The 12,839-nt window shown below is 46.8% G+C and overlaps 1 protein-coding gene across 1 annotated transcript in view; it reads right to left on the bottom strand.

The window, feature by feature from the left end:
* Nucleotides 1-4,266, bottom strand: part of ZNF875 (zinc finger protein 875) — a 51,619-nt gene extending 47,353 nt beyond the window's left edge. The window contains exon 1 of the transcript NR_138103.2: nt 3,791-4,266. The gene's annotated coding sequence lies outside the window, so the exon portion shown is untranslated. The remainder of the gene's footprint in view (nt 1-3,790) is intronic.
* Between the last annotated feature and the right edge of the window lie 8,573 nt (nt 4,267-12,839).

The following is a 12,839-nucleotide window of genomic DNA, read 5'->3' as shown; positions in this document are numbered from 1 at the left end:
CTCCGGAGGCTGATGCAGGAGAATCGTTTGAACCCGGGAGGTGGAGATTGCAGTGAGCCGAGATCGCGCCACTCCCCTCCAGCCTGGGCGGCAAGACCGAAACTCCGTCTGAAAAGAATAAAATAAAAGGAAATGGGGCCGGGCGCGGTGGCTCACGCCTGTAGTTCCAGCACTTTGGGAGGCCGAGGCGGGCGGATTACTTGAGGTCAGGAGTTCGAGACCAGTCCGGCCGCCAACATGACGAAACCTCCGTCTGTACTAAAAATACAAAAATTAGCCAGGCGTGGTGGCGGGCGCCTGTAATCCCGGCTACTCAGGAGTCAGAGGCACAAGAATCGCTTGAACCCGGGAGGCGGAGGTTGCAGTGAGCCGAGATCGCGCCCCTGCGCTCCAGCCTGGGCGACCGAGTGAGACTCCGTCTTAAAATAAAATAGGCCGGGCGCAGTGGCTCACGCCTGTAATCCCAGCACTTTGGGAGGCCGAGGCGGGTGGATTGCCTGAGCTCTGGAGTTCGAGACCATCCTGGGCAACATGGTGAAACTCCGTCTCTACTAAAAAAACAAAAATTAGCCGGGCGTGGTGGCACATGCCTGTAATCGTAGCTACTTGGGAGGCTGAGGCAGGAGAATCGTTTGAACCCGGGAGGGGGAGGTTGCAGTGAGCCGAGATCGCGATATTGCACTCCAGCCTGGGCGAGAGGATCGAAACTCCGTCTCAAAAAAATAAATAAACAAATAAATAAATATAAAGGAAATGGACAAAGGAAACACAAATGCATGAAATCAAACAAATGCTTTCTCTGACGGACTCCGTCTTTGCAAAACTGAACCTAGGACAATGTGCACGTTTCTACCTAGCAATTCCGGAGGACAGAGCGGGCAGGGAGGTGAACTTGCTTTTCTGTAATTTAATTGACTTGTCAGTAAAGTCAGTGTTTTGCAGGCATTTTCAGTGTTCTGTAGTGGGCTTTAGTTCCGATCACAGTGTGGCAGGCCAGGTTTCCATTAGCAACCAGAACAGTTTCCACTAACCCTTTACTATAATTTTGATGAATGCATAAGTTAAACGTTGAAGAAATGGAGAAACTGGTGCCTGAGTATCAGGGATGGAATGCGAAAACGAACCCATTAAGACCCTGCCTTGGTCTTCTCAGATCCTAAAGTCTGATCGAATAATAATAGCATTCTTACACATTCACCTCAGCCTGTCTTAAGATTCAGAAACTTTCCAAGACTCTAGAGAAATCTTTCCAGACCCTAGGCCCTAGTTAAAGATTAGATGTTGATTGAATGCAACACTTCTGCTTGTAGGTGCAGTCCCACACATACCGTGGACCTTAAGATGTCTATAAACACTAGAAAAAAACTTGTAACTTTGAGTTGGTCTGGTGAGTTACTTGGCCCTTCTCCATGTAATCGGTTGCAGAAATAAACTTTCTTCTTTCCCAGTCTGTCTGCATCCTATTGGAGAATCGCGACGGACTGACTCAGCAAACTCCTCTTTTGTGTGGTTATCTGGGACTCCTTTGGGAGGGAACATTTTAAATTTTCCATTTCAAAGGGTTCCATTGGCACTCTTGCACTGTTATTCTCTGCCTACCCTGAGACTTGAGTTCTCCTGGACTCGAATCTCCAGCCACAGAGTCCAGAAGCCCATACCTCCACATTCTGTGACTGTTCCCAAACACAGGGAGAATTTGCAGAAAATATGTATAAAAACCTTGCCATTCTTCGCAATAAAACCCCACATTACAAACTGGTGAAAACGGAGGATTTTAGCTTGAACAGGTTTTTCCTCTATTTGAAATCAATCATTTCCCTTTTACAATTTTGGAGTGAAGTTTCAAAATCAGTACGCACCCACTCCCAGGTTTATCCTTATGTAAAGTGCCCCCTCTGCACATGCAACATTTAATAAACCTTGAAAATATGATGCTAAGTGAAAGAAGCCAGTCACAAAAGACCACATGTTGTGTAATTCCATTTAAATAAAATATCCAAAATAGACCAATACATAGAAACAGAAAGTAGATTAGTGGTGGCCCGGGGTTAGGGGAGTTGGGGGGAACTGGAGGGATATGGGGTTTACTTCAAGGTAATGAAAATGATCTAAAACTTACTGTGGTGCTGTTTGCACAACTGTGCAAATATACTGAAAACCGTTGAATTTTACACTTTCAATGGGTGGCTTCTGTGATATGTTATTAATATTTCTCAATAAAACTTCAAAAAAAAATAGTGCCTATGTCTTTTTATGTATTATTCCTCCAGAGTCTAGTCCACATTTTTATACTTGATGAATAAATTAAGATTTTGTTTATTCTACTTCTTCTTCTTTTTTTTTTTTTTTTTTGAGACAGAGTCTCCCTCTGTTGCCCAGACTGGAGTGCAGTGGCACGATCTCAGCTCGCTGCAACCTCCAGGCTAATTTTTATATTTTTAGTAGAGACAGTGTTTCACCATGTTGGCTAGAATGCTCTCGAACTTCTGACCTCAAGTGAGTCCCCCACCTTTTCCTCCCAAAGTTCTGAGATTGCAGGCATGAGCCACCATACCCAGTCCAAGATTGAGTTTCCGTTGTTTCAGATGCCCTAGGACCATCTTATTCTACCTTAATTTCTGATGCATCATCTCAGTGGAAATTTTCCATTAGATGCCAAAGTATTTTACTCTTTTTAAGATTTTATCAGCTGGGTGCAGTGGCTCACACCTGTAATCTCAACACTTTGGGAGGCCAAGGTGGGAGTATCATTTGAGCCCAGGAGTTTGAGACCTGTCTCTGCAACATAGTGAGACCCACATATCTATAAAAAAAATAATAATAATTAGGTGGGCGTATTGGTGCATGCCTGTGGTCTCAGCTACTAGGTAGGTTAACGTGGGAGGATCTCTTGAGCCCAAGAGGTCGAGGCTGTGGTGGCCATGATTATACCACGGCACTCCATCGTGGGTGAAAGAGGGAGACCATGTCTAAAAAAAATTTTTTTTAATTAGAATTTTTTTTAGAAAACAAAGCATACACTTCGTGACTTGATATAAATGAATGACTTTTGTAATCTACAGAAACCAAAATAAATAAATAAATAAATAAAAACCCACATCCATTCTTTTTATGCGAGTCTTTGGTGTCTCTGAGTTATAAGAATTGTGAATTATGATCAATAACAAATATGTATGACAAGGACTCAATAAGGGATAGGCATTAATAAATTGCAATTCACACTGCCTGGAGTAAGGCCTTTAAAGATGTACAAGAAAAAGAAAGAAAATGAAAAGGCATTGAAAAACTGCATTGCCTACCAAAATGCTAAAGTTTACCTAAGTCCATTAATCAACACACACACACACACACACACACAATGGATGTGTAAAATGGTCAACACAGTCTCCCATGAGTGTATTCTCTTATCAATAGGTCTGTGGGGGTAAGAGATGAGGTTCTATACATCCTGGAATCGGGGATGGGAAATCTGAGGTCCCTGGGGTGACAGGGGAGGGTCTGTAGATTAGTGATAGGTGGTCTTTGGGATAGTGATGAGGTCCATGGAATCAATGATTGTAGGTATGTAGGGTCAGTGATGAGGGAATCTGGTGTGAGTAATGGGATGTGTGTGGAATCAGTGAGAGAGTGTGGAATCAATCTGTGAAAGCCCAGAACTGTGGTGTCATCTCTCAGGGTGACACATCCTGATCTGTGTGTCAGTGGTGGAGATTCTATGGGGTAAGAGTGTGGCTGTCAAGTCCCTGCCACTGTGTGTTCTGGGTCCCGCCAAGTGCACAGATTCCTTTACCTGGTTCTGGCTGGAGAGGCTCTTCTCAAGGACTCCTCTCGTGAAAGGTGGGTTGGTGGTGGTGTTTGTTGTTGTTGTTGTTGTTGTTGTTGTTGTTTCGCGGGGGGCGGGGTTGTCTTTTTCTTTTGGCTTTGGTTTTGACTCTTAGAGACCACAGACACATGCAGCATGTCAGAAGAAATTTTTGTCTGGGCAGTCGCTAGGTCCTTTGGGCCAAGCCATCTAATGGGAGAGAAGCTGACCATTCCCTCAGCGCGGTTCAGATCTAGACGGTCGCTTTTAGGTGTCCACACGGTGGTGTGCAAGTGGGTTGTGGCTTTGAGGGGCAGGTGGGCGGGAAGAAACAACTAAGAAAGACACAGGAGCGCTCCTCAGGCTGGATTTGTCACAGCCGGAAGAAAAGCCGCCCTAACCAACCCGTCAGGCGCCAATGGGAGGTGCCTCCGGGCTGTGAGAGGCTGGCGGAGGCGGGACCTGCAGATCCAGAGAGCCCGGGCACAGAGCCTGTTACTGCCAGACGCTGAGGCGTTGCCGTGGGAACCAAGGGCCTTTCGGGTCAGATCAGAGCCTTTCTCAGACAATTCTTTCGGTAACTGGCGAGGTCCTGTCCAGCGCACGCCCCTATGAAGGCCTAGTGTGCCGTCTGCCGCGGAGTCTTCTTTGGTCTTGTTTCTTACATCCCTGCGCTAATCTCGCCGTCTGCTCCTACATACCCCAGGCATTTGCCGCATGCTGGTCCTTTCTTTCCTGACAGGCGGGCCGTCTCTCCAGCTTCTGGGAGGACAGTTCAAATTATGGAGGAGGGGGCAGGTGCAGGGCAGCAGTGCTGAGGGGAGTAGGGGGGAGTTGGGGGAGCAGGGGCTCATTTTTCTTTGTTGCTCGGATTCCTAAGCCTGTGACTTTGAGAATCGGCTTCTTCCTTGCAAGGTTTCAATCTGAGGCTACTGGGGAAAGGGCAAAATTGGAGCTGGATGGAAGCGTGGTGGGGAGAGGAGTAGGTGTAGGGAACATGGAGAATGTGTCAGGCAGTGTCTTTATTCCTGGCACCTTACTTTGCCTGCTGGAGTTTCCCAGTCTGTTCCAGGCGCATTCTCTCGACCCAGAAGGGGCCTGATGGGGGATGTTGGTCGCCAGTGTGTGCTCCCCTGGACTGGATTGGAATTGGTCCCACAAACTATTTTTTTTGTTTGTTTTTTAGAGGGAGTCTCGCTCTGTCACCCAGGCTTGAGTGCAGTGGCGCGATCTCTGCCACAGTTATCAGTTCAGGGATAAAGATATTAGGATACCTTTATAGTAGATAAAGAGCTAACTCATTCTTTGTAAGAGTTAAATTATCTTCCATTATACGAGCATTTAGGATATTAAAGTACTTTTGCCACCAAAAATAATGCTTCTGTAAATATTCTTTTACTTATATCTTTATGAGTTTTTACTTCTGCTGGGACAAATTGCATGAGGAAACAAATGTATGGGTATATAAATATAACATATGTATATATATTTAATATGTGTATATACAACTTAATATATACACATACATACAATAACATATACAAGGCAGACTTCTATTACTGGCCAAGATGAGATAAGCACATTTCAGCATCTCTCTCACCGATTTCTACTTAACACCCCAGAGTGAATACAAAAAGAAACCACCTGAAGACTCAGAAATACAAATAATAGCAGGCAGATGTGAAGGGAGTTAAAAACGTGAAGAATGGACGTGATGACCACAGGTTTGCTGGGGTATTTTCCCCCTTTATCTTCTGGCTTTGGAAGGAAGGAAGTCTCAGAGCTGTGTGATAGGTTCAGGGAGCAAAAATTATGAGAGAAACGCTTTCCTTCCAGCCAGAGGAGTCCAAAAGAGGACCCGGTGTAACAGAGTAATAAAAAGGATATTGCATCCTTTTTTTGCAATAAAAAGGATATTACAAAGGTTTTCGATGAAGAAATACCTAGGGCAAAATATGTGGGAAGTGGCATTGGGCTTCAATGCTCTCTCCCCAGCACATCATCCTCCAGGAACCCCCACGTGTTCAGCAATCTGGAAGCTCTCTGAACCCAGTCCTTTTGGATTTTCATGGAGGCTTCATTACATAGGCATGATTGATGACATCATTGGCCATTGTCAGTCAACTCAACCTTAAGCTGCTGTCCCCTCCCCGGAGGTCAAGGGGTGGGGCTGAAAATTCCAACCCTCATATCACATCCCTTGGCCATCCAGGAGCCCACCAAGAAGTCCCCTCATTAGAACATAAGATGTTCCTATCAGCCAGGAAATCCCAAGGGATTTGAGAACTCTGTCAGGAACTAGGGTCAAAGACCAGATATTAGAACAGATGATCCTCCTAGTACCCAAGGGTTTTAAGGAGCTCTAGACCAGGAGCTAGGGGCAGAGACAAATATATGTATATTTCTTGTTATTTTATATTCTCAACTCCCCAAGGTTATCCATTTTAAAAGTCTGGTAAGTTTCCTTTACCTCTCTCCTTGCTCAGACATGCACACACACATATACTGAGTGACTTTTGTTCCCTTTTGCCTTTACTAGAATTATATGTAATTTTTTTTTAGCTTGTGTTTCTAGGGAAGACCTTATGGATGTCCTTCCAAATTAGTGCTTGCTGATTTGAGTAGTACTTGGAAGGAGGTAATTTTTTTTTAAATTCAAGCTCTTTATTATGGATACTTCCAGCATTATATGTGCAGAGAGCCTAGTACAGTGAACCCAGCCTTAACAAGTAACACATGGCCAGTTTTGCTTCATCTCCATTTACACTCAATTATTTTAGAGAAAATTCTAGACATTTCATCTATAAATATTTCAGTATGAAATATAGTTCTTTTAAGAACTTTTCTTAAAACTCTTTTTCTTATAGTTCTTTTAAGAACTTTTCCTGACCTCAGATGATCTGCCCGCCGCGGCCTCCAAAGTGCTGGCATTAAAAGCTTGAGCCACTGCGCCCAGCCGGCTCTTATATGTCTTTTAATCTATTGACTTCCCTTTTTTCTTGCTATTTATATTTTGGAGAAATCAAACACTAGATCATATAGAGTTCCCACATACTGCCTTTGAGTACACCCCCATGGTACTGATTAACAAATTAGATGCTGTATATTTTCTCTAAAATATCTGGTCATTAACTAGAGCAGTGGTTCTCAACCAGTTGTGGTTTTGTTTTTTGTTTGTTTGTTTTTATTTTTACCTCTAGAAGACATTCGGCAATGTTTGGAGATATTTTTGGTCGTCACAACTGCAAGGAAGGATGGTATTGCTGCCACCTATTGGCTAGAGGCCAGGATGCTGCTAAACATCCCATACACCTTACAGGACAGCCTTCTCCAATCCCAAAGAATCATCTGGTCCAAAGTGTAAATAGTGTCAGAGTTGAGAAATTCTGCTCTAGAAGCTTGGTCAAATTCAAGTTCAATTATTTTGGCAAGGTCTGCTTGTCACTGTTTTTGTGATTAGATTTGGTAGTGGGCTTAAGTGTCATCAATGTGATTTATCCATTGTAAAGTGATTGCCTTTTGCATAATGTCATGCATTCATTCATGATCATTGCCTAGATTCGTTGTTGTTAGGAGCTGCAAAATGATCACTTTCTTATTGTGTCTCTCTTTCAGCCATTACTGGAATCCTTTTATTTCCATTACTGAAATTTCCATTACAGGAATCCTTTTATAAAAATAAAATCCCCACACATCAACTATCTGATTACTTAGAGGGATAGCATGTGTAGGAAAGGGAGGATAAATGCTTGATTCTTTCCATTCATATTCATTAGTTTTCAGAATTACGAGTTTCAGAATACTGCATTGGTTTCCTAGTCTCCAAAGGTGATTGCTGCAGATTGTATTCTCCAAAGATGGTTGCAACAATAGGCTTGTCTCATATGTTGTTCTAGAATCTTGCAATTCCCACTTTAAGGGTGGAGTCTAACTCCTCTGCCCGTGAATCTGGATTTGTTTATTGTTTGTAACCAATGCTGTGTGACTCCCAAGGCTGAGTCATAAGAGGCACTGTGGCCTTCACCTCATTAGCTGAAACTCCTGTGTTTGAAGTCTCGAGCTATCATGTAAGAAGTTCCAAGTGCTGTGAGCTGCCATGCTATGAGGAAGCCAAGTCATGTGGGGAGGCTACTAGTCTGAGTCTTTGAGTCCTCCCACTGCATGTGCCAGACATGTGTGCAAAGCAGGCTTCATAGGTTTGCAGCCCTCAGGCATCAGGTTATTCCCAGCTTTTGAATCCTCCTGGTTGAGGCCAGAGACATCAGGAGCAGAGGCACACCATCTCTTCTGTGAGCTCTCTAAATGCCTAACCCACAGAATCAGTGAGCACAGTAAAATGGTTGTCTTATACTACTAAGTTTGGAGTGGTGTGTTATACAGCATCAGTAACTGGTGAACAATGATTGATATACCCACACTTGTTTATGTCATATTACACACACACACACACACACACACACACACACTTTTTTTCTTTAGAGGTGGGGTCTTGCTGTGTTGTCCAGGCTGGTCTTGAACTCCTGGCCTCAAGTGATCCTCCTATCTCAGCCTCCCAAAATGCTGGGATTACAGACATAAGCCACTGCACCTGGCCAATACTCACATATTTTATTTTATTAAAAAAATTTTTGGCTGGGCATGATGGCTTATGCCTGTAATCTCAGCACTTTGGAAGGCCAAGTTGGGTGGATCACAAGGTCAAGAGACTGAGATCATCCTGGCCAACACCGTGAAACCCCGTCTCTACTAAAAATACAAAAATTAGCTGGGTGTGGTGGCACGTGCCTGTATTCCCAGCTACTTGGGAGGCTGAGGCAGGAGAATCGCTTGAATCTGAGAGGCAGAGGTTGCAGTGAGCCAATATGGCAGCATTGCACTCCAGCCTGGCAACAGAGTGAGACTCTATCAAAATAATAATAATAATAATAATAATAATAATAATAATAATAATACGAGCAAGAATAACCATGCCTAACAAATAAAAACTGATGGTAATACATAAGGTTACACAAATATTCAGACATATCATGATCCAAAAACCACATATCTGTTCTCTTGGCTATCCCATCCAAGTGGAGCCAAAGGCTCTGCACAGGTTTCCAAACACTAATCATAGACATGATAGCAACTGTGGTCCGCTCCCTCCTGGTTACCTGCTCACCTGAAGCAGGTAAGAGCCTGCTTGGCCTCCTAAGGAGGCACTTCTGAGGCAGGAGAATAGAAAATTAGCATAAACTAAGGGTTAAGGTGGAAGCAAAAGAACAGCAGGTGCAGCAAGTTCTAGGCCAGGTTAAGCAGCACACAGGCCACATCCTCACTCCTGTGATAACAACACAGAAGTCTCCAGTTCAGCCTCTGAGTTCAGCCATGGGCCAATCCTTCACAGTGTGTAACCAATTGGAGGCCTCGAAAGGGCACTTATTGGTGTTATCAAATTCTTTGGCTTAATAAAAACTCTAAAGAACATTGTAATCTGGGCTCTTCGGCCGCTTGCTCTAGCCGGCTCTGGCTCTGTAGAGTGGACTTTCGCTTAAATAAATCTGCGGTTTCGTTGCTTCTTTCTTCTTTCGTGGCTTCGTTCTTTTGTTGCTTCGTGTAGTTTGTTTAATGCTTTCTTCAACAAGCCAGAAACGTGGACAACTTACAGTCAAGACCTTCCATCCAGTAACAGTTCTACACTCTAGAAGTATCAGTATCGCCAAGAGATGTCAAGACATCAAGGGGTCAAGTGTGGTATAAGACCTAAGATTAAGGCTCAATATTATATGTGCCCTGACATTGGGGGGAAAACAAGGAGGCCTGAATGGATTAACTGCAAATTCCTTGCCCTGTTGTACTCCTTTGAATAAGGTGCCCTAGCCGAATCACTTCCCTCAGAGGACCGGCACATTACCTGCTTACTGCATAGTAGCGGGCGTCAGGTTCCAGCCAGCCTGCAGAATTATTCAAACAGGCCAATCACACCCTCCTTCAAGAACCAGGGGTTACCTCCCATACTCTTGCTACTACAAAGCCTCCTGGTATAGCCTCCACCTGATTACTCTGTTCCTAAGTGCAACACGGTATCCCATATGGTGTGCTGGGCCCTCCTTCCCTGGGGCGTAAATATGGGTAATTAGCAAACCAATGTTCATCTCATTTATCCAGTGTTAGCTACCATGTGCTTTGCAATAATCTGCACTTCCTTTCTAATTCTTGAGAGACATCCGGGTCCTCTGCTCCTGGGTGGAGGATTTTTAGGATTTCTGCCACTCAGAATGGGCAGGTGACTTGAACGCCTGCGGGTCTGACACAGCACCAAACCTCGCCAAGGCCTTCAGAAACTAAAAGTGCAGCCGCCAGGAAAATGACTGCCGGTTCCGGTCACACGACCGGCTACACGACCCAGGCAGAGACCGAGAAAGAGGCTCACCAAAAAGGACGACGTGCAAGAAACCGCCCTCCAGCGAACAGGGGACGTTCGTCCGAAGACATACATGCACACCCCCATTCACACACACAGCCCCAGCAATTTTTTTTCAGGAGCTGCAGCCTGACCCAGAGTAGAGCGCAGTCAGCCTTGCCAAAGCGCATGCGCGAATCATCAGCGGATGCTCAAGTCACAGAGACCGCCACCGCTGCCTGGAGATGAGTCCTTGAACGCTTCGCGAAGGAGGAGCCTTCTGTGGCAGCACGTCGAACTCCGGGCTAAGGCCAGTCCTCGCCACGGGGTCGACAGGATGGTATCCGGAGGCCAGGATTCGCGGAGGGTCGACCAGGAGGAAGAAACCTCAGGAGGAGCGCCTGGGAAGCACCGCAGGATTCCAGGCTCAGGCCTGCGCGAACGGTGTGCCAGTGAGTTTCCCCAAAAGTCGTGCCTTTGCGATCTCGAGGACAGGTCTGCTTGTATGCCCAAGGGCTGCTCTCTCACCCCAGGGTCGTTGTCGCGGAAAGCAGAACCCTGAGGCTTCAGGGGCTGCCTGGGGATGAATGTTACTGTGCCACTGCAGTATGTCTGGGTTCTGTCTCTTTCTTTCTCTTGTTTCTCTCTGTCTCCTTTCTCTATCAATCTCTACCTGTTTCCGTCTGTGTGTGCTCGTGTGCGTGTGTGTTTGGATGCATATGCGCTGAAGGGCAGTTTCTTGTACGGCCTTTCTTCTGGTGAGCCTCTCCCCGCGTCTCTGCCTGGGTCATCTGGCCGGTTATCATTCGTTTTCCCGGTGGTTCCAGTTTGGGTTCGTGACGGCCTGGACAACGTGGGGAGTTGCGTCGGACCCGCAGGGGATTAAATCGGCTCCCCATCGTGAGCGGGCTCATTGCTAGTATCAAGACGACCACACTCCAGCAAAGGACAAAATTCTCACAGAAGCTCAATATCCACCTGCATGAGAGGTGCCCACCGACCTCAAAGAAGATGGGTCTCACTCCTCTCGCCGTATGCCCTCATTGAGATATCTAGACACTGCTGGAAACAAGGAAAGAAAAGAACGCCAGGTAGGAGATGTAGCAAGCATCTCTGCACTCGAATACTGGTCTTCTTGGCCAAATCACCGGTTTGGCACTCCTCCACACATGCCCAAGGTGGTGGCATTGTGCTGTATGGAGCCTGGGCTCTGGCCTCTGCTCTGTCCTCCCTCTTGCTCTGTCTGCCCTGTTTCTGAGAAGCCTAGAGGCTTCTTTGGCTGAATGTCTTCAACAAAGAAGACTTCTCAGTCCATCAGGGAGAAACTTCGTGAGGATGGGTTTCATGATTGTTTCCCTCTCCAAACTTATTTCTGGATGATTGGGCAGGAAGCCCGGAGCTCTGGGCTTCCATACCTGCCTGGGACAAGGAAGCTCCTTTGGTATCCATGTCACAAGTGATGGCTGCCTGACTGGTATAGGAAGAGCAGGAGGCGAAGGTGGCTGGCCTATTACCTTCTAGGAAATGTGGTGTTGTATCACACCTGCCTTTCCTCTCTGATTCTTCAAGGCCATCTGGCTCCTCTGCTCCTGGGGAAAGTGCCTTGAGGCACTGAATCTTCTGGCTGCCACGGATGTCAGGAAGCAAAAGGGACAGGGTTTTGCTGGGTGCAGGAGAGGCAGCATCAGTGGTACCTACCCAGTGGCGGCGTGAAGGTGAGGTGTATTTTGTCGAAACCTCTCGGCTCCTCTGGCAGGCGTCCCTGAATGTGGCTTGGACTCGGGCACAGGCCCTGTCTCGCAGGTTTTCCGGTGTGCTAGGCTTTTCCTCAGCTTTGTGCAGGAGGTCTCCAGTGGTCCGCGGGCGCATCCCGGGACACCACTGTCCGTCTCAGCATCTCTCCATACGGCCTCGGAGACACAAGCTCACTCCATCTGCTCTTGGGGGATACCAGTGCCACCTGTGGTCCCACTGGCTCCCCCTCGGACTCGCCTCTGTCTCTCTCTGCACATGTCAAGCAAAGCAGTGTAGGGATTCCGGACCCCCTGGGCCTTAAAGATTAAAGCAGGCCACGGTTTCACCAAAGAAAGAGGGAGCCAGTGGACTCACTGGTCGGTGTAATTTCAGTAGACACCACATCTTGGGGCCCATGGGATCTTTCTGTGCCCCAGCGAGACCTTTCCCACCTCACTACATCGTAACGCCATTACTGATCACCGGGTCGGATCCATAATCAGATCCGAAGAGGACTCCGGAGAGGCCAGCCGGCGCCCTGAAGCTACTCCGCCACTGGGAATTGAAGCAGAAGACAGATCAAGGAGGTCTTGAACACGGGAATCCTATGGGTCCGACCCTGGGTCTCCCACAGGAACCTCTCCCATTCCTCACCCCACACGATACCTCCAACACTGCTGCGGCCGTCGACACCCCACTCCCAGCAGCAGCAGCGTCGGCGCCATTTTGCAAAGGATCCGCGACCTTAGTCTCCGGAGTAACAAGGGGGGCGGGGGAGTCGGCCTCGCCAGTGCGCATGCGCGAGGTCCGAGCCGCCGCTTTGGTCACAGGGACCGCCACAGTTGCCCCGGGATGGGTCCCTGAGACCTGGGAAAGTAGGAGCTCTGTGGGATAGTGCGTCAGAGTCGGGGTTCAGACCAG

This window comes from Homo sapiens, chromosome 19, assembly GCF_000001405.40.
Source record: "Homo sapiens chromosome 19, GRCh38.p14 Primary Assembly".
Classification (NCBI taxonomy): Eukaryota; Metazoa; Chordata; class Mammalia; order Primates; family Hominidae; genus Homo; species Homo sapiens.
Note: the sequence above shows the minus strand (reverse complement) of the source record. Positions and strands in the feature narration are given on the sequence as shown.